At 50.9% G+C, this 20,499-nt stretch overlaps 2 annotated features.

Moving 5' to 3' along the window:
- Positions 90-919: an enhancer, noted in NCBI's record as "H3K4me1 hESC enhancer chr2:239936997-239937826 (GRCh37/hg19 assembly coordinates)". NCBI's record gives its function as "activates a minimal SCP1, AML or CMV promoter by ChIP-STARR-seq in naive H9 embryonic stem cells {active_cell/tissue: H9 hESC(naive)}" and the evidence as "EXISTENCE:reporter gene assay evidence [ECO:0000049][PMID:30033119]".
- Positions 18,681-18,850: an enhancer, noted in NCBI's record as "experimental_57531 CRE fragment used in MPRA reporter constructs". NCBI's record gives its function as "activates a minimal promoter by MPRAs in K562 erythroleukemia cells, with activity observed for both the introgressed and non-introgressed 2:239919151 variant alleles {active_cell/tissue: K562}" and the evidence as "EXISTENCE:reporter gene assay evidence [ECO:0000049][PMID:34662402]".

The following is a 20,499-nucleotide window of genomic DNA, read 5'->3' as shown; positions in this document are numbered from 1 at the left end:
AGGGATGCCTCCTGTGGCCAAAGCTCTGGGTCAAGCCACACATCCGTGGCCAGGGTCCTCCTTTGCAGGCTGTTAAGTCCAGCAGACACTGGTGCCCAGAACATGAGGTCGCAGGGCTCAGCACTGGAGATAAAGCCAGACGCAGGGATGCGATGGAATGCCGGCGTAGGCAGGGACAGGGGACGGGGGAGGCTGCCGGGATCTCCAGCCAGATTTCTGACATCCTTGCGAAGAAGCGACAGTCAAGACAAGGGCCAAATTTCCTCCTAGGAGAGAGAGAGGATGGGGGAGAGGCGAGGGAAGGCACGGGAGGCCATATATGGCGGAACGAATGTGGTGTGTATGTGGGGCTCTTGGAGGCAGCTGTGCAGAAGGCCGCAGGGGCTCAGCCCGCTGGCCCTGGACTCTCACTTCGAGGAGGAGAGGGAGGTCCATGGGAAGAAAGTAGGCGGAAAAAAATAGTGCGACTTTAACAAATCCTCATCAACCTGGGAGTGTGCTGCAGCTGCCTGCCAGGGAGGGGGCCGTGCACCCCACGCAGGGTGGCCGGCGTGGCTTCCCAGCCAGCTCCTGCAGGGCCATGAGCCAGAGAGCAAAGGGGGATGGTGCTCCCCACCCAGGGCCTCTTGTGCGTGTGAGCCGCACCCCTCCCTGGGGCACCACGCTCCCAGCTCTATTTTCCTTTAAAGAAGCAGCAGAGCATCCTTGATGTCTGCTCGATATGTGGCAGGAGCCCGGCACAGCCCCAAATCCTCGGGGATCTTTCCTCCCTATGGGTCCGTGGGTCCACGGTTGTCACGGTGACACAGGCAGAGTGACAGGGCTTTGGAGTGCGCCCCCATCACAGGAGGAGGTAAGTCCTGCAGGGGTCCCTCTGTCTTCCTAATGCGAACCCCTGCTTCCGACTCCTGTTGACGGGGGCCTTGCAGCACCCCCAGGCACCTCTCGGTTGCCAGAGATCCCAGTTTAATAGGAAACAAGGCTCCTCTCTGGTACTGCCCACCAGTGTTGCCCCTTGGCACCCCACACAGCAAGAGCTTTTCCCTCCCAGGGGTCTGCCACTCGTGTTTAAAGATGCCCATCCCATCTCCACTTCTCCAAGCTGCCCCCACACCGAGTTCCTCAGGTAGATTCTAGCCAAGCGCCCCCACACACATGAGTCTGTGCTCACAGCACTCAGCAACCCCTCCTCCTGCCTCCTGAAGAACACAGTCTCCAGGCAGCAGGGGCCAAGGCCCTGGCCACACTGCCACAGGTGGCCCTGCCATGCTGTACCTGGGTCCCTGGACTCCAAGCTCAGTGCTTTTCCAGCCACACCAACAGATCTCAAAAATCATTTCCTCCCAGCGGTGGAACCATTCCTTAAAAAGGAGACTGAACAAAAGCATGACGTGCACAGGCTGCTAAGGGGGATGGGGGGCTGGCAGCCAAGGGCCCTTGCCCCACCCCTGCCCAACTAGGATTGTCCTCCCTGAGGTAGGCATGGGCTGGGTAAGGGTCCATGGAACATGGACTGAAACCCCCAGGCTGCGAGGGTGGAACAAGTAGGCAGCTCCCTTGGTTGGGCTGGAAAAGGCTGTGAATCCCATTGCTACCCCTCCCAGGTCCCTGCAGGGTGTGCCCATTGGTATGGGAGCTGGGGGGCGACCTAACAAAGCCAGCACAGGCTTCCCTGGGGAGGAGTGGTCACACCTGGATCCCTCCAGGAGCTCGTCCATGGGTGGACCTTGGGGAAAACTACTTAGAATAGCCTGTTTTACCGAAGAATCAGAAGCAACTCCCATTTCTAAAAAAAAAAAACCCTACTTTATTCACTCATTTGGTATTAAATCGAATTTAAGCCATTATAAAAAGAAATTAAAGCAGGTTTCACTCGGAATCTCACCGTCTAAATAGCATCCCAAGATAGCAAGGTGGAGGGTGCCCGAGCCTGAGTCCGCACTGGGCCGCCTGCCTTCGTGGCTGGAGTTCCTGATTCCCCAGCAAATGTGAGCCATTGGTGCTGTGTATCTCATGTTTGTGTTTAACACGTTCACAGTGCTTTTTACCTGTGTCTAGTAAATATATTTATTATTTTTAAGGACTGCCTAGCATTTTTTGCAGAGATCCCATAATTTGTATTACTATCCCTGTAGCACTGAAAATTCAAATTGTTTAGTTTCCTTTTTTAAGCTTTTCATTGGAACTTTATATACATATAAGTTTCCCATTATTTTTAAAAAGGGGCTTTAAAATCAGTCATATAAGTGTCTGTTTTTGAGGAATAAAATGAAGCAACTTTGAGGTCATATCTAATCCTCCCCCATCCCAATTTTAGCAGAAAAATTATGTACGTTTGGATTTGCTTCCATAAGTCAAGTTCTTAATGCGTCACTCTCCTTCGGAAGGGAGAGTCCTGTCACTTTTATGAATCATCCGAATCCCAAAAGTGGAAATCCTTCACTGAGCTGCTTACAATGACTTGAGATTAACGATGCGTGTTGGCTGGAACAAGTGCTCCTAGGAGGAGGTGGTGCATAAAAGGGTCTGTCTCAGAACTGTGTCTGCAGCTGAGCCATCTCGTCCCCAGGGCAGGCAGCGTGGCCTGGTGGATAGCACACAGAATTTCTGTCCTGGCCTCCAGCTAGCACAGGGGTGCCCCGACACAAGCTTGTCTCCCAGGGAGAGGCCTCGATGGATCACTCTGTATTCCTGGACCTGACCGTGGCTGAGCATTGCCCCGGAAGTCGAGCCCAGGCCCTGCAGCAAGGCAGGCTTCTCTGAACATTTGGGGTGCTGGGATGAGCCTGGGTGAGCCCCCAGGGACATAGCTTGAGGAATCTCCCAAACTTTTTTGGCCAAGTCTCTGGCCTCCCCTACCACCCTCCGCAATTTTGGGGGAACATCCACCAGCACCTCCCAGGCCATGGGTGCTGGCCTAGGAGATAATGGTCTGCAGTGCATTTGCTAATGGCTCAGATGTGCCATCTTGAGAAGACACTGCATGCAGGGCCTGACAACCCGGACGCCTGCAGAGGACAGGTCCCAGCCAACGGAACGGAACTGCTTTTATTGGGGCCAAGCTTGATACCCTGCAGGTGTGTTACTGTTTAAATCACCTCGTGGACCAAAAGAAAATGGCAACTGGCAGTACTTGGCTGCACCCAGCCATACCCATGAGTACCTAGCAGTACTCACCAGTACACATCAGTAACCAGCAGCACCTGGGAGTACCCAGCAGTACTCAACAGTACCCATCAGTACCCAGCAGCACCTCTCAGTACCCAGCAATAGTCATCAGTACCCAGCAGCACCTGGCAGTACCCATCAGTAGCCAGTAGCACCCATCAGTACTCATCAGTACCCAATAGTATCCAGTCATACCCAGAAGTACCCAATATACCCAGCAGAACCCATCAGCACTCAGCAGTACCCAGCAGCCTCCAGTAGCACCCATCAGTATCCAATAGTATTCATCAGCACATGATAGTACCCAGCAGCACTCATCAGTATCCAGCAGCATGCAGCAGTACCAAGCAGCACCCACCAGCACCCAGCAGCATCCGACTCACCCTTGCCAGGAGTGGTTGGTCTATGTCTTCCTGTTCTCCTCCACAGTTGGGAGGGAGGATGGCCCTGGACCAGCCTGGGCACCAGGTCCACAGTGGTTCCTGGTGTTCCTAGCATGGTCTTTGGAGGGGGTTGCAGCTTTCTCTGTGGCCCCCTCCATTCTGGCTGCTTCTCAAGCCCTGGAGGAAGCTGTGCTTGGGTGTGGGAGGCCTGGCGCCCATGGCTGTTGGGTGGAGGCTGGTGAGTAGCTGCCTCCGGTGGTGGTCCTGGATTCTGGCTGCCCCGGGGCAGGTCTGCAGCGCTGTCTTCCCTGAGACTTTGCTACCTGAGCCCCATCCATTCCTCTTAAACCCGACTCCCCTCCTGCTGCCCAGATCAGTTCACGTGGACCCTGGAAGAGCCCATGGGCTAGTCGGTCCGTGGCTCCATCCTCTGCACCTGCGCCTGCCCCTCTCTCACACGCTTCCTGCTAAAGCTGCACAGAAAGAGGCGCTGTGGGGAAGTGCGAGCAACAGCTGGGCCCAATGAACAATCAGAAATGACTGAAGATCATTTTCCTGAGCTGAAGGTATAATAACGAATGTCAATTTAAAGGCAAAACCACTGCAAGAGGCCAGCCACTTTCTGACACAAAAATCACACATTGCACAAAAAGGAAACCCGTCTTAAGGAAACCCACCAGTAAGCAACCAGACAAATCCATGTCCCTCCAAAGCAGCTGCTCCAACAGGAGCCTCAGAGTCATTTGAAAGGGTAAAGTTTGCCCTAAGGAACCCTAGAGAGTACAGGAATCTGAGATACGGGCAGCAGCTACAACCTCTCAGGCAGAAGCTGAGCGCCTGCCTTCTAGGGTACTTGGAAATTCCCCTGGGAAGCGGCTCGCCAGGTCAGCAGCAGGACCAGGGTGACTGTAGAGCTCCCAGCGAGGCCACCTCGGGAGTGGAGCTGCTGAAATCCCTGTGGAAGACACCCTCTGGATGCCAATGGAACCCGCTGGGAAGCTGTCCTGTGGGGGCCAGTGGAACTTGCTGGGGAACCACCCACATGGTGGTGCCCTTGATGCCCACTGGGGTGAACGTCCTGGGCGTCCCATGCCTTGCCGGCTGCCGTGCTGCAGGAACAAGCTGGGAGGGACGTGGAACCCGGAGATAGGCCCCTTCCTCTGCCATGCCTGACAGCACCCCCAGTACCCTCCATGGATGAAGCCTGGCGCTGCCAGCTTGCAAAGGAGCCACATTCACAGCCCAGCTCCCGCATCACAGGGCAGGTCCAAGGAGGGCAGAGTTGGAGCTGAATGGTAATAAACTGATACCAGCACACAGTGTTTGTTTATGATATATGTATACTACTGCACTACTGTACTAATGCACTTTAGAAAAACACAGACCAAAGGGCCGGGCGCCGTGGCTCATACCTGTAGTCCCAGCAGTTTGGGAGGCAGAGGTGGGCAGATCATTTGAGGTCAGGAGTTCAAGACTAGCCTGGCCAACATAGAGAAACTCCAACTCTACTAAAAATACAAAAATTAGCCAGGTGTGGTGGCTAATTTTTGCACCTGTGGTCCCAGCTACTTGGGAGGCTGAGGCAGGACAATTGCTTGAACCTGGGAGACAGGAGGTTGCTGTGAGCCGAGCCCACGCTACTGCACTCCAGCCTGGGTGAGAGACTTCATCTCAAAAAACAAAACAAAACAAAAACAACAACAACAACAAAAACCACCGAAAATCAAACAAACAAAACACAAACCAGAGAAATTTACCATTAGTGTGAGCAGTGTTATTATGGCTGCTTTAATAGTTTGTGACATAGTGATTCAAAGGTCTGTTTCTGGCTGGGCACGGTGGTTCATGCCTGCAACCCCAGCACTTTGGGAGGCAGAGGTGGGAGGATCGCTTGAGCCCAGGAGTTTGAGACTAGCCTGGGCAACACGGTGAAACCCCATCTCTACAAAAAATTTTAAAATTAGCTGGGCACGGTGGCACACACCTGTGGTCCTAGCTACTCGGAGGCTGAGGTGGGAGGATTGCTTGAGCCCAGAAAGTTGAGGCTGCAGTGAGCTGTGATCACACCACTGCACTACAGCCTGGGCGACAGAGCAAGATCCTGTCTCAAAAAATAAATAAATAAATAAAAACCCCAAAATCCAAAGGTCTAAGTTCATTTTATTTTGTAACTTGGTTTTAATGACAATCACTGCTGGAAAGAAATTGCTTACAAAGTCATGTAGATCCAAATAAAAGAAGGCTGTACTTATTAAATATGCTGTAACTTTTCAATTCCATCCACCAATTATGCAAAAGATTTTGTTCAAATTTTGTCCAGTCAGTGCCCATCTTCCCTGATGTTAATAATTTGCTCTTGCAAATTAATTGGGAGGAGTTGTATTTAAAAGTTTTTAACAAACATATTTAAAACTCACTAGGATCCTTCATTTGGAAGATTTTCGAACAGATTGAAAAAAATTCTGTCCTTAAATTTTTAAAGTGTCCATATATAAGAATTTTTGTAGAAGACAAATATTGTTTTAAGCCACAAAATTATATAACAGTGGAAAATGTTTTAAAGCCTCTGTTTTTAAAGTGCAATCTCCACTGAATTATTTTCTTTAAAAAAATCCCCCCTATTTTCTCATTCTTTATTAAAATGCCAACTTTACCTTGAGGAGCAGACTGTGTTTATTTTTCCACAAGGTATCTGTAAATAGCATAGACTGTCAGTCACCGGTCACTTAGAAAAGTCTGCAAATAGAAACCATGTGTATATTGTAAGAGAAGAGAGTGCCACATCCTCCCAGTGGTGAGGAGGAAGATTGGGAGGGTGCCCAGGGCGCACCTGGGCCTGGAGAGTCCCCGTCTCCTCTCCAGCTCCTCTGCAGAGCCACGTTACTGCTGCGGCCACTGGCTGAGTGACACAAGGCCTCCGGCCCTGCGGTTGGATGGTTCAGGGGCCACCGCCTCTGACCCTGTGAGCGGGAAGCTGGTCTGAGGAAGGGGATGTGAAGGCCACGTGACCTCCCAGAGGGAGGCGAGTGGGCGGGTGGAGTCTTCTCTGTCCTTGAGGGGAGGAGGGCAAGGAGAGTTCCTTAGGGGCCTCGGAGGGGCTGAGAACCTTTAAGCGGGTGGGGGCGGATCCCTTAGTTGTTATTGTTGTCTTTAACCTGTTGGGCATTAAGGACATTGCAGCAATAGACCTGTGCCCCAAATTGCTGACAAAGGTGGGAAAAAAAGAACGTTCCATCTGGCCGGGTGGGCATAGAAGGGGGTGGAGGGAGCGCCTGGGTATTGTCAGGTGAGGAAGGTCAGAGGGAGCCGTCCACCCACGTGGCCAGCGAAACGGAGCGTGGGAGGAGGCCCACGAACACCTGAGATCAAAACCCACAGGGCACGTGAGAAGATCCCAATTCCAGGGCGCGAACGAAGTCCAGGAGCTTCAAAATTGGCCCGCATCATGAAAACATCCGGCAGACGATTGAAGACTCACTCTTGATGCAGACGCTGACCCGAGGAAGGAAAAGGGTGAGAAACAGCTAGGCAGACACAGCAGAGCGGGAAAGAGGCCGACGCCGACGGAATGCAGGAGGCTTGGGGGTCGGGCCCAGGAGATCTGATCTGAGAGTAACAAGTTACAGGAGCGCGGAAAATCACAGATGGAGGAAGGGCAGTCATTACATATCGGAACTCTCCCCTGAGTTGGGGGACGCCTGCAGAGTAGGCATGGAAGGGCTCACGGAGTTCTAGGTTCAGCTGATGAGAAAAGATGCCCTCTGTGCTATGTCATGGTAACAGCCTCCGAACTCTGCATACACACTGTATTCTTCCCTTTGTGTGACACTCCAGAAACAACAAATTGCATCCATAGTGATGGAAATCAGACCAGTCGTTGTCAGGGGCCACCGAGTTGACTGGGATAGTGATGGAAATTTTAATGAATACATAGATGTATAAACATGTCAAAACATGTACTTTTTAAAATGGATCCATTTTATTGTATACAAATTTTACTAAATAAAATGGAATGGAAAATTATAAGTGCTGTACTTTCTGCATTGAGGAAAAAGAAAAGTCAACCATTTTTCAGTCAAAAGGAATATGTTACCTAAAAAAGCAAAACAATCAGAATGGTCTCAGGCTTCTCATCTACAACACTGCAAGCTAAAAGCAGTGGAAGAGCAAAAGACTGCACCCCAGGAACCCCTGTTCTCAATAAAGAGATTGTCGAAGTGTTAGGAGCAGAAGGTATTTGAAGATACATAAAACCTCAGTGAGTTTATCACCTAAGTGCCTCATCTAGGAAAGCACTGGAGAAACAGTTCTAATGAAATGGCAAACCCAGAAACGACATAGCAGAGACCTCCGGATGAAGGAGGATGGAGAGGAAGGACGCAGTGGCATGAGGAAGCTTCATCTACTCGGAGGCATCCCGAGGGGCTCAGCCGTTCGGAGCAGCGGAGGGGCACAAACGCTGCAGGGTGGCTGGGTGTGGTCTTCACAGGGGACGGCAGAAGCATAAGAGAAACTGAGGCTGCGGTGTGAGTAGGAACCTGGCTGCAGTGAGTTATGGGTTGAGAGAGACAGTGAGTGTGTGTTTGGTGCACATAAGTAATTGTCTTTTTTTTTTTTTTTTGTCTCACTCTGCCACCCAGGTTGGAGTGCAATGGTGCAATCTCGGTTCACTGCAACCTCCACCTCCCGGGTTCAAGCAATTCTTCCTGTCTCAGCCTCCTGAGTAGCTGGGATTACAGGTGCTCACCACCATGCCCAGCTAATTTTTTTTTTTTCAGTAGCGACAGGGTTTCAAATCCTCTTAAGGGCACATTGATAAGTCTGGTTGAAAATAGGATTTGATTCATCCAAAGCAGGAAGAAGTGACTGCTATGAAGGTGAAGGCACAGCCATGAAAGATTGATCATTCTGCAACTCAGGAGGGTCTGTCTAGGGCCCAGGAGCCCGTGTTTTCCTTATTAACCAAAAATAATTAAGAAAGGCGATGATTCCGTCTGCACCCTGAGCTCTGCACGTTGATTTGGTGATGAACGGAGCACCATTGCCATGAGGACAATTGCCAGTCCTTTCCCGACTGGAAGATGGCAACAGCCCTGCCCCATTTCCCCGCCGTATTTATACTGGACTTTAGAGAACTGTGAAAGCCCATCTGGAAAACACTCAAGGCAGGTGAGTGCCCCTCACAAACCCTGTGGAGAACACCATCCTTCCCTCCACCATCATCACCAGCAACAAACGTTTGCTCAACCCACGGTGTGCAAGGCAGAGGGCCCGGTGCTGCAGGGACAGAAAGAGGAATGAGGGACAAATGAACATGATGGAAGGGAAGGGAAGGATGTCTGTGTTCTCCAGGGATTTGCCATCCACCTGGGTGCTGGTCTGATGTCCCTGAGTCACTGAAGCAATGCCAGCAGCATTTTTATGGGCAGAAAGATCAATGCCCGTAAATAGCAGGGCATCCTCCCTGTCAAATAAAGGTGACCTAAGATTCTACCAGTTCGGGCTGAGCTCTGAGTCACCTATTTATTCAAGTTATAATTACTGAGCTCCACTGCAGAGGCTGCTGGACACACCCCTATTTCCTAGAAATGGAACTCTTTCTAGCACCGTGCATGGCTGACTGGAATAAAACTATACCTCCCAGACTCTCCTGTATCTATGGTTGGCCACATGACTAACATCCGCTTCATGGCATGTAACTGGAAGTGTTGTGTGCTGCTTCCCTAAAGGGAAGTGGCTGTGCCCCGAATCATCCCTCCTCCTTCCTGCTGTCTGATATATGGATATATAGGTTAGATCTAAGCAGCCATCTCAGACTACGAGAACACTGGGAGACAGTGGAGCAGAGAGTGGAAGGGGCCTGGATCCCTGTCGGCTGTGTGGAGCCGAGCTGCCCACACCACCTGCACTGTCCACCTTTGGAGTTTCTGCTTGAGGGAACAAAATCTTGTGTGGTTGGGTCAATGGTAATTCGGGGTCTCTGTTCTTTGCTGCTGAACCTAATACTGGTGGATATAAGCGCCTACTGTGCATCAGGACCCTGTGCTAAGGACTGGGACTTTGAGAATGGATAAGAGAAAGACAGCCCCTGCTCCCAGGGAGCTTAGAGTAGAGAGAGAGAAAGAGACAGATCAAAGACATCATGTTACCTGAAATAAGCCAGGCACCGACAGTTACATTCTGCATGATCTCACCCGCATGTGGAATCCAAAAACGTTGATCTCATAGAAATAGAGAGTGGAACAGTGGTTCCCAGAGGATGGATGGGCGGGGGTAGGAGCTTGGTCAATGGGTGCAAAGTTCCAGTGAGACAGGAAGAACAGGCCTGGTGTGCTATGGCACAGCGGGTTAATAAGAATGTATTATATATTTCAAGAGAGCTGGCAAAGAGGATCTCAATGTTATCACAACACAGAAATGATAAAGGTCTGAGGGGTTGACATGCTAACCACCCTGATTTGATTATTATACCACGTGTGCACGCATGGAAACATCACGGTGAACCCCAGAAACATGTACAATTGTTATGTGTCAATTCAAAACAAAAATTTTGTTTAAAAAGTAAGCTAACAAACACATTCACCCCAGCTGATAAATTCAATAAACTAAGGGAATGGCTTGCTTGCTAAGTTAGAGAATAATGGAGACAGACAGAAAATAGCGGCTAGAAAGGGCTTCTAGAAGGAGGCGGGTTTTAGGGAAAGATGGAAAGAGGAGTAAAGGGCATTTTAAGAAATTATCTCCTATTATTAATCTTGGCCAAAATTCAGAAATGGGAAGAGAGAGGCTGATCCATCTGCAGCCAACAAGGGCATTTGCATAGGGCAAGGACCCAACCCCGCAGCAGAGAAGGGGAGCTCCTCCCAAGCCAGGGCAGGTGGTCTTGGGGTGTCCCCAGTGGGTCAAGCCCTGGGGCTGTAGCTGGCTGTGGTCGGGTTGTATTCAGCTGAGGGAACACTCAGTCACTAGCCTGAGTCTCCAGACTGCCTGAGACACAACGGCTCTTTGCATGAATGCAGATTCCTGGGCCCTGCTCACTGGAGATTTCTGATTTTGTGGAATTAAATTGTATTGGTGAGATCTAAAAAGCCCAAGGAATAATGAACTTTCAAAAACTCAGATTTAAAAGGGGTCTCAGGTTGTCCAGCCCAAACACCCACAGGGCTGTGACCCTCTCTCACCCTTACCTGCCTGCACAGCTACCAGCAGAGGCAGGTTCTGCCCTTCCAGGGCTGCAGTCTTCTCCCTGTAGGAAATTGTACTGAAAGGAAATCTGGGCCGGGCGTGGTGGCTCACGCCTGTAATCCCAGCACTTTGCGAGGGTAAGGCAGGTGGATCACTTGAGGTCAGGAATTCGAGACCAGCCTGGCCAGGTGCAGTGGCTCACACCTGTAATCCCAGCACTTTGCGAGGCCTAGGCAGGCGGATCACTTGAGGTCAGGAGTTCGAGACCAGCCTGGCCAACATGGTGAAACCCTATCTCTACTAAAAATAAAAAATTAGCCGAGCATAGTGACAGGCACCTGTAATCCCAGCTACTCGGGGGGCCAAGGCAGGAGAATCGCTTGAACCTGGGAGGCAGAGGTTGCAGTGAGCCCAGATCGTGCCACTGCACTCCAGCCTGGGCGACAGAGCAAGACTCTATCTCTAAATAAAGAAAGAAAGAAATAAGAAAAGAGATCTGACTCCTCTTGCAGGGCTGCCTCTGGAAATACCGAAAATAAGATTAATCTCTTTTCCAAATGAGAAGCTTTCAACTTACCACGGCCCTGGACGTCTCCTCTTTCCCAGGCTAACTATCTTTGCATCCTACAGCCATTTCTCTTGTAAGCTTCACTGGCAGGCCCCCAGTCCTCTGGTGCAGCAGCCTGGGAAGGGCAGCTTCCTCTCGGCCGGCCCGGATTCCAGAGAGAAGGGAGACGATGGAGACGGGAATATGTGTGCTGTGTTCTTCAGAGGGATTCCACATTCAGGACCCCGCTTCCTAACCATAGCCTGGAGATTTCTGAGGAGGCTTCGAAATGATTTAGTTTAACCTCCTGAATTAGTTTCCTAGGGGTGTCATAAAAAATGACCCCAAACTGGGTGGCTTCAAACAACAGAAATGTGTCCTCCCACAGTTCTGGAGGCCGGAAGTCCTACATCACGGCGGCAGGGCTGGTTTCTTCTGCGGCTGTGAGTGGGAATCTCTCCGGGGCTCTCTGCAGCTCCTGGCAGGTGCGGGGAAGCCTGGCTGCTGGATGCATCACTCTAACCTCTGCCTCTGTCTCCACGTGGCCTCCTTCCCCGTGGCTCTGTGTCTTCTCCCCTTCTCTTCTCTTCTAAGGACTCCTGGCATTGGGTTTAGGGCTTACCCTAAACCAGAATGATCTTATCTCGAGATTCTTATCTTAATGACATGGCCCTTGGGCCAACTAGGGGCACACTCTGATGTTCCTGTTGGACATATCTTTTGGAGGTGGCGCCATTTAACCCAGCAGAACTCTTACTTTACAGATAAATGCCATGGGGGGCAAAAGGGGAGTGGCGTGCCCAGGAGTCCCTGCAGAGTTCGCGAGGAACCTGAGCCTCAACAGCCCTGGTCGGCCCTCCCCGCCCTCTCACATGGAGAACACAGAGACACAACCAGGACAGACGATGGTACGCACGGACCCGGCATTGCTGCAAAATGCGAGGCTTCCATGAAGTTCTCAAGTAATTGAAGCTTACCTCTTTAAGGGACAAAATTATGTTCAAAATGCTCTTTTGATAGTAAGCGTTCTAAACCACAGAAACATACTCTCCCAACGTGCTTAAGAGAATACAAGTTTGAAACAGTCCGTCGGCATTTTGTCGGTAACTCAGGGTGGTTGCCGAGGGGCCATTCCGAGCCGGGGCTGGGCTGTGATCCTTCCAGTTCTGCTCGACTGGCTGGGCCGTGGCCCCTGCCTCAGTTGCCCCCACATCGCCGGCTTCTGGACGTGGTGACTGCCAGCTGTTTCCCCCAAGAATTGGCCCTTCTCAGAATGGCAGCCCATTCATTCGCCAGCTCTTAATGGGATGTGTGATGGAATACACTTTGAGGGGGTGGGTGGAGATATTAATCTTTGTTTTGCTTTCTTATTTCTCCCCCTCATCCAATTTCAAGCAGATCACCCGGCTCTTTGTAATTTTTTTGCCTCGGGGATTTTTTTTCCAGGCAGAACGCCAAAGCAGCTCAAAGCCAAAGGCTCTTTCTGTCTTTTGTAAAAACCTAAACCCATTTCATAAAAACCCAAACCCAGGAGGCGAGTGGGAGGGAGAGGGCAAGATTCACTGAGGCTGGGAAAAGGAGGAGGCTGGTGTCCCCAAGGACCTGAGGTCTGAGCACAGCTCCAAGGCACAGCCTGGGAGGGTGGAGCGCACACGGCTGCCCATGTTGTGCCCTGAGGCTCTCATCCCCGGCAAGGATCCCCAGGCATCGGGCAGGGTGGAGGAACAGCCATCAGCCTGAGGGCAGCGGGACTTGCGTGCGAGTGGCACTGAGGCAGTGGTGACAGCTCCCAGCCCTTCAGCTCTTCTGGGCACCATGGAAGCTTCTGGATCCTGGAGGGACTCTAGGAGGGGAGAGAGTTGCATTTTCTGCCAGCCCCACAGGGTGGGGCTCCAAGTTGGGTTTAAGTTGATTTATGTAAACAAAGAAATGAAACTTCCGGATTTCTGGACAGCACGGCCCTACAAGTTCATGCACTGAGGCCTCTTCTCTGCTCCGAATACGCAGCAGCATTAGAGAAAACATATTTCAACAAAACAAGCCAAGCATCACAGACACCAAAAACAGACAGAACAAAACCCGTGGGTGGGGTCTGAGATGGGGCTTCCGGTCCGGAACCAATGTCGGGGAAGTGCTGGCACCTGGTGCAGCCCCCACGGTTGGGAGCAGAGGCCAGCTGACTGCACAGAGAGACCCCCACCCCAGAGAGGGAACAGAAAGAAAATTCCAGCTGAGTGCTTCTCGGGCTTTAGCTTCCACAGATTCAAGGACCAGGAGGTGAGAGGAAGCAGCCTCCTGTCCAGGACCCAGGTAAGGCACCACCAATGCCATTACTCTATTTGTGATTTAGCCGATGCTCTGTGGGACATGAAACCTGGTTCACGGAGGGCATCCCTGGAGGCTGGGCGAAGACCGATGCAAACCCTCAGGGCAGACAGGGTTGAGTGTATGTGAGAGGCGTGGACAGGGAGAGAAGGAGGAGTGTGGAGAGGGACACGGGGGAGAACCACAGCAACAGGAAAATGACCTTAAAGTAAGTTTTTTAGCATCTTAAAGAGGAAAGACAAGAAATAGCCTAAAAAGAGTAATTGGCTATACACAAAACTTGGCAGAAATGAAAAGGATCAGAACTGATGGAAATGGAAAATATCTAATTAGTAAACCTGAAAATTAAAAAGATGCTCATTGAAATAAAAAGGAAACCAGCAAATGCAATAAAATCCTCAGCAAATTCAGGCAAACAGATCTCGGGTGAAACGGAAGACGGACGTAAGGAATTCTCCAAGAACGCATCACACAGCAACTGAGATTTCAAAAGAAAATCACCACAAAAGAGCAGGCAAGAGACTGGCAGAGTTGGCCGGGCAACTCTGGCCCGTCTTGGAGGAGGTCCGGGAAAGAGGAGCATCAGGTGGGGGAGTGAGATTGAACAGACAACGCCAAGAAGGGTCCCAAGCCCAGGAATGACACAACCCTCGGGCCGGAAGCCACTGTGAGCAAGTCGACCAAACATAAACCCCATCTCTGCATGCTGCTGGTCAAATGTGTCCATAAAGTACCTGCTCGCTGTAAAAACACTTCACCTTTGTGCATTTATAAACAATAACAATAACAAAGATAGGGCAAGATACAGGAAATAACGTTCCTTGTTTAGAAAAAGGACGTAGATACTTTAGATTTCATTAGAAAAAACCCAGAGTGCCGAATGTAGACTAAAAATGAAGGATAGTCACTGTCAAGAATAGAAACAAAAATCTACAGCTGCCAAACCATCTTGGGGGGAAAAGAAAAATCCAAAAATGTTATCATGCTTAGAAAAGGCAGAAAAGATAAAAGAAAGCAAACAAAAATCATGGCAAATGAAATATCACATACAATAATAGAAACAATTTTAATTACTTTAGTATTAACTATAACTGTAAAGGGATTAAACTCATGTACAAAAACCGGAGACTACAGGATTAAACCTTCATCCCCCAAATTCAGCTAGATGCTGCTCACAAAGAGACACATAAAACAAGGCAGAGACTTTGTTTTTGTTTTGTTTTGTTTTTCTGAGAGAGTCTCACCCTGTCATCCAGGTTGGAGTCCAGTGGCACAATCTTGGCTCACTGCAACCTCCACCTCCTGGGCTCAAGTGATTCTCCTACCTCAGCCTGCTGAGTAGCTGGGATTATAGGCATGCACCACCATAATTTTTGTATTTTTAGTAGAGATGGGGTGTCACCATGTTGGCCAGGCTGGTCTCGAACTCCTGACCTCAGGTGATCCGCCCACCTCAGCTTCCCAAAGTGTTGGGATTATAGGCGTGAGCCACCTCGCCCTGCCAGTTTTTTTTTTTTTTTAAAGGATGAAAAACAGGAACACACAGCAAATACAGATAAAAAGAAGAGGGTGTATCAATAAGAAACAAGCTAGATTTATGGCAAAAACCTTCACAGCCTCTAAGGACTGTGGGAACAATCCAATTCTCAGGGCTTACAACTACAGGGCGACTTCTCACTCCACCACCCATGGGCTGTGGCTCTGCTCCCTAACGTCCTGGACAGGAGCGGCTCCACCTGGGACATTGCCAGGCTCATGCAAAGAGGGCAGGGAGACTTCCAGAACCACAGGCTGGCTCTCTGTGTTTCTGATGGGAAGTGTCCCACATGACTTGGCCCACACTTCCCTGGCCGAGAAGCCCTCCTGAGCTCAGTGGTGAGGACTGGATCTTCTCACTACGGGGAGGGGAATGCAAATCAGGGCAACCAGCGACAGCCCGCCCTGTGCTGCGCAGAAACACCAAGCCTTGACAAACAAGCCAGGCCATCACCGTAAGCTTGCGTGCATGTAAGGAACAAACATTTTATGCACAAGTAAGTTTTTTCACCAATGTGGACTCAGCACCTCGGGAGGTTGTCTGCAATTTCTATTTGCTATGGGCCGAACATTTGTGTCCCTCCAAAATTGATAGGTTGAAATCCTCACCTCCAGGGTGATGGTATTAGGAGAAGGGGCCTTTAGGAAGTGATGAGGTCATGGGGGCAGAGTCCTCAGAAATGGGATCAGTGCCCTTAAAAAAGAGGCCCCAGAGAGCTCCCTTGCCCCTTCCACCATGTGAGGGCACAGCAAGAAGGCACCATCTGTGAACCAGGAAGTAGCCCTCACCAGACACTGCATCTGCCTGGCTCTTGGATTTCGCAGCCTCCGCAGCTGCGAGAGACAGATCTCACTGTTCAGGAGCCATCCGGGTCATGGCATTTCATTACAGCAGCCTGAACGCACTGACACCTGTTCCTTCTGCTGATACTGAGGGTCATTTGGGACAAGATGGGGAGGCATCAAAAATTATCAGGGGTGGCCGGGCTCAGTAGCTCACACCTGTAATCCCAACACTTTGGAAGGCCGAGGCAGGAGGATTGCTTGAACTCAGGAGTTCGAGACCAGCCTGGGCAACGTGGTGAGACCTCATCTCTATGAAAAATAAAAAAAAAAATTATTTTTTGTGTCTGTGGTCCCAGCTACTTAGGAGACTGAGGCAGGAGAATTGCTTAAGCCTGGGAGGTCCAGGCTGCAGTGAGTCTTGATTGCACCACTATACTCCAGCCTGGGTGGTAGAGCGAGGCCCTGTCTCAAAAAAAAAAAAAAAAAAAGAGAGACTATTGGGGGAAATTGGCATCCGTTGCTTTTGTCTCTGTTCCTACCGCAGCCCCACTCTGCCTTCTGAGGAGGCTGCCTCTGTAATTGAGTCATGCTGGCCACAGCCAACTGGATGGACCAGGGTAGGAAACTGACCCCAGGCCACTCTTGGCAGACTGCCCAGTGGCCTCTGGCCTGACCTGGCAGGAAAGCTCTGCTCCACAAGCACACTCTAAAGCAGCTCAGGAGAGAGTGATAGGGTCTGGTGAGTCCAGCGTGGGGATGCGAGACAGAAGCCAGGAGGGGCAGGAGGAAAGCCAAGTGCTGAGACTGGAGAGAAGGGAAAGGGGCCAGCTGGCCTGGCCGGGGCCTGGAAGTGGAGTACCTGAGAATCAGTGACGGACTTCGTGGCTGAGCAGTGGCAAACAAGCGTGTTCTGGGTAACATTCCCGCCCTCTGAAAGGCCTGCTCTGAGCTCGCAACGTTTCTCCCAGCTTCCTGCGTCTCTCCAGCCCTGACCTCATTAACCCCAGCAACCTGAGTACATCTCTGTTCCTTACAACAGGACCGATCCGACAAACAACTCTGTCACACTCGTAATCTTAATATTAGATTTAATGCAACCCTTGGGATCTTGGGGTGAGGCCGCCTCTCCAGTAGATATTTTTACTGCCGCTCAGAGGGACTTTAAAATTGATTCTCCATTTCATGGCTGTATTTGAGATGCTTAAGATTTCTGGAAGCCCAGGTGCTGCAGCAGAAAGCGCCCAGGGCTTGGAGTCAGAGGACTTGATTTTTATTCCTGGCTTGGCCAGTGTTCAGCCTGTGACCTTGAACGAGATTTACACTCTCCAAGCTGTATTTTCTTCTTGGAATGTGAATATCTTCCCTGCCTACTTGATGAGTTCATATGTGTGCACACACCAAGCAGACACCGGTCTTGTGGGGCTGACGTTTTAATTGGGAAGCTTAGATGGTTCCAGAGATTTGCCCAGGTTCACCCACCTTTCCTGTGCATGGCTGTCAAATGGTGACGTTCTTTCTCCCCAGGCCCCTCCCTCCACACCCCATGTGCTTCTCAGAAAACAAACCTCAGATAGAGGCTTCTTCCCCACCAAATGTGAGCAGAAACAACATTTAAAAGGTGTATAGCCAGGCGTGGTGGTTCACACCTGTAATCCCAGTGCTTTAGGAGGCCAAGGCAGGAGGATCACTTGAACCCAGGGGAGTCCAGCCTGGGCAGCATAACAAGACCCCAGCTCTACAAAAAAAATACCCAGGCATGGTAGCACATGCTTATAGTCCCAGCTGCTCAGGAGGCTGAAGCGGGAGGATCACTTGAGCCTGGGAGGTTCAGGCTGTAGTGAGCTGGGATCACGCCACTGTACTCCAGCCTAGGTGACAGGGTGAGATTCTGTTGAAAGAAAGAAAGAAGGAAGGAAGGAAAGAAGGAAGGAAGGAAAGAAAAAGAAAGAAAGAAAGAGAGAGAGAGAAATAAATAAATAAATGAAGGAAGGGAGAGAAGGAGGGAAGGAAGGAAGGAGAGAAAGGAAGAGAGAGAAAGAAGGAAGACAGGAAAAAAGGAATAAAGGAAGGAAGGAAGGAGGGAGGGAGGGAAGGAAGGAGAGAAGGAAGGAAGGAAGGGAGGGAGGGAGGGAGGGAAGGAGGGAAGGAAGGAAGATTATTATTTCCTAAGGGTAGGAAATATTCAGGGTAGGTCCCCAGCAGGGGTTGGGGGTATGTTTTGCTGCCTTTGCTGGGGAATCTGCAGATGCATACAGGGACTGGTCTTTTTTGCGGGGAGAGAGCTCCCAGGACTGCTGGGTCTACCTCACCTCCCAGTAGCTGGGTCTAGACCTGGTACAATTAAGACAGGAAGGTGACCCAGGCACCTGCCGGTGCCCTGCACCATGCCGAGGGAGTGTGGTTCATAGCACCTCCTCCCCTAACTCACAGAGCTGCGGCTCTTTCCTGTCCTGCCTTCACGGGAGGCTTTGCTGCTGAATGACTGGGAGTTTAGGGAATGCTGTGCGTCTCTGGCATAAAGGTGCATCCCTTTGCCATCTGTTCTCGGGAGCCACAGCCATTCTGCCGGGGAGCGAGCAGGATGGGGTGCCACAGGCTCTCGTAAAGGGTCCTCATAGCCTCATGAAATCAGTTGCTGTTTTCCTGAGTCTCTGGCCTTCTATTAATTACTCTTACTTTGTTGTTCTGGAGCCAAGAGCAACACTTTTGGGTCCAGGGTGGGATTAAAAGTTTTCATCTTTTTGATGTTACCAGGAGGGAGCATGAAGTGCACTGAGCCGGGCCAAGGGTCGTGCTTTCCCATCACCCTTTTTCACCGAGAGGGACAAGAAGGCCAGCACCGAGGCCATGCTGGCCCCCAGGGCCTCTCCGGGAAAGCCGGCCCTTGGTTTGCTCCAGATCTAACCCCCAGTCCTTGGCAGAGACACAAACTTAAGATTTTCGGGAGGGAGGAGAAAGGTAATATTTTAAGGAGCTTTCGAGCTTTCGGAGCGTTAATTTTAGGTCATAGAAAGGTCAAGCAGGTCTTTCCAAAGCACTAAGAATGTGGTGATGAAACCTCTGTTGTGTGGGGTGGACGGCGGTGGCTGGTGCTGGAGCGCAGGCCTGGAGCGGTCCTTCGTGGGTTCACAACACTTTACTGTGAGCTGCGGGAACCTGCATCTCCCTGCCCTCCCGAGCCTGCCAGGAAGCTGGCACAGTTTTCACCAGTGGCCCACACAAGCTGAAGGCCAGCACTTTGTCATATTGTATTTTTAGATTATATTTTTCCCCTTCTCCCCCTTGTGAAGGAATTCAGCCCAGTGCCCAGAGCAAGCTCTTGCTGAGCTGTGTGTGAAGGTGGGCCGAGGCGGGGGCCCAGGCAGCCAGGAGCCCATAGGCATACCTTGTCCCATGGCATGGCCGAGCCCACGCTGAGCCTGCCCAATATGGTGAAGGGGACACGGTCCCAGGCGGACCAGCTGGCTCGAAACCAGTGACAGCTTTCCCAGAGGTGAGGCATTCTAGGGAAAAGGATGCACTGGGCACTCCCTGCCCCCATGGAAGTGGGACTCCGGCCCCTCTGTGGGGACGCACGGGTCTGAGCAGCCCACCCTCCACAGGCACCCTGGGCAAAGTTGGGTCTGGACTCTTGCAGAGGCTGGCGTTTGGCCAGAGCCCCAAGGAAAGGGCAGCCAAAGTTGCTCCTCCTGCGGCCCTGGGCTCTGCTCCCGGCTGCCCCCAAGACCCTCCTAACCCCCAGGGACAGGGGAGCCAGGGACCACACTATGAAGGGGCCCTGCCTCCCGCTCAGATGCCCTCTCTGGCTCTACCTCACCTGGCCTGGTGGGATGGAGGGAGCGGAGCCGGCCCCATCACCACTGGTCAGATGTCTCCAGCTCGGGCCGACTCCTGCGGAAACCAGCCTCAGAGCTCCCGGTCCTTCCTGGTGGCTGAGGAGTCCTGGAGTTCAAGGACATGAAGTTCCAGATGGAGTCACCTGTGCTTATCAGGGATGGAAGGAGTGGAGAGCCATGTGGTGGCTCTGAGGCTGGTGGATGCCCCTCTCCCAGCTCAGCTGCCTAGCGTCCGAGTGCCTAAAAAGCTGGGCAAGACCAAGCAGATCCAGGGTCTGGGTTGCCTGGAACATACAAAAGTAAGTCACAGACATCATCACCTTTAAGCTCTAAAAGTTCAGTGCACACCTCCTAAAAATAATTCATAATAAAAATAATAATACATTCTCCAGCACGGTATGATAAAGTTATCAAATTCAGAAAATGTAACATTGATATAATACTATTATCAAAAAATGCAGTTTGCAGCCACATCTTGCCCATTGTCCTAATAATGTGCTTAGTAGCATCTCTACCCCCAACTCCCAATGCAGGATTGCACAATGCTTTTGTTTGTCGTGTCTATTAATATTCTTGAGCTTCCTTTTGTCTTGTTAAAAAAGTTTATTTAATTGTGGTAAAAAACACATAATTTAACATTTGCCATCTTAACCATGTACATTCCAGTGGTGTCAGTCATGTTTATTCACATTGCCATGCAACCATCACCTCCATTCATCTCCAGAACTTTTTC

The sequence above is a fragment of the Homo sapiens genome, chromosome 2, assembly GCF_000001405.40.
Source record: "Homo sapiens chromosome 2, GRCh38.p14 Primary Assembly".
Classification (NCBI taxonomy): Eukaryota; Metazoa; Chordata; class Mammalia; order Primates; family Hominidae; genus Homo; species Homo sapiens.
The sequence above is the reverse complement of the archived record's forward strand: the minus strand, read 5'-3'. Positions and strand labels throughout refer to the sequence as shown.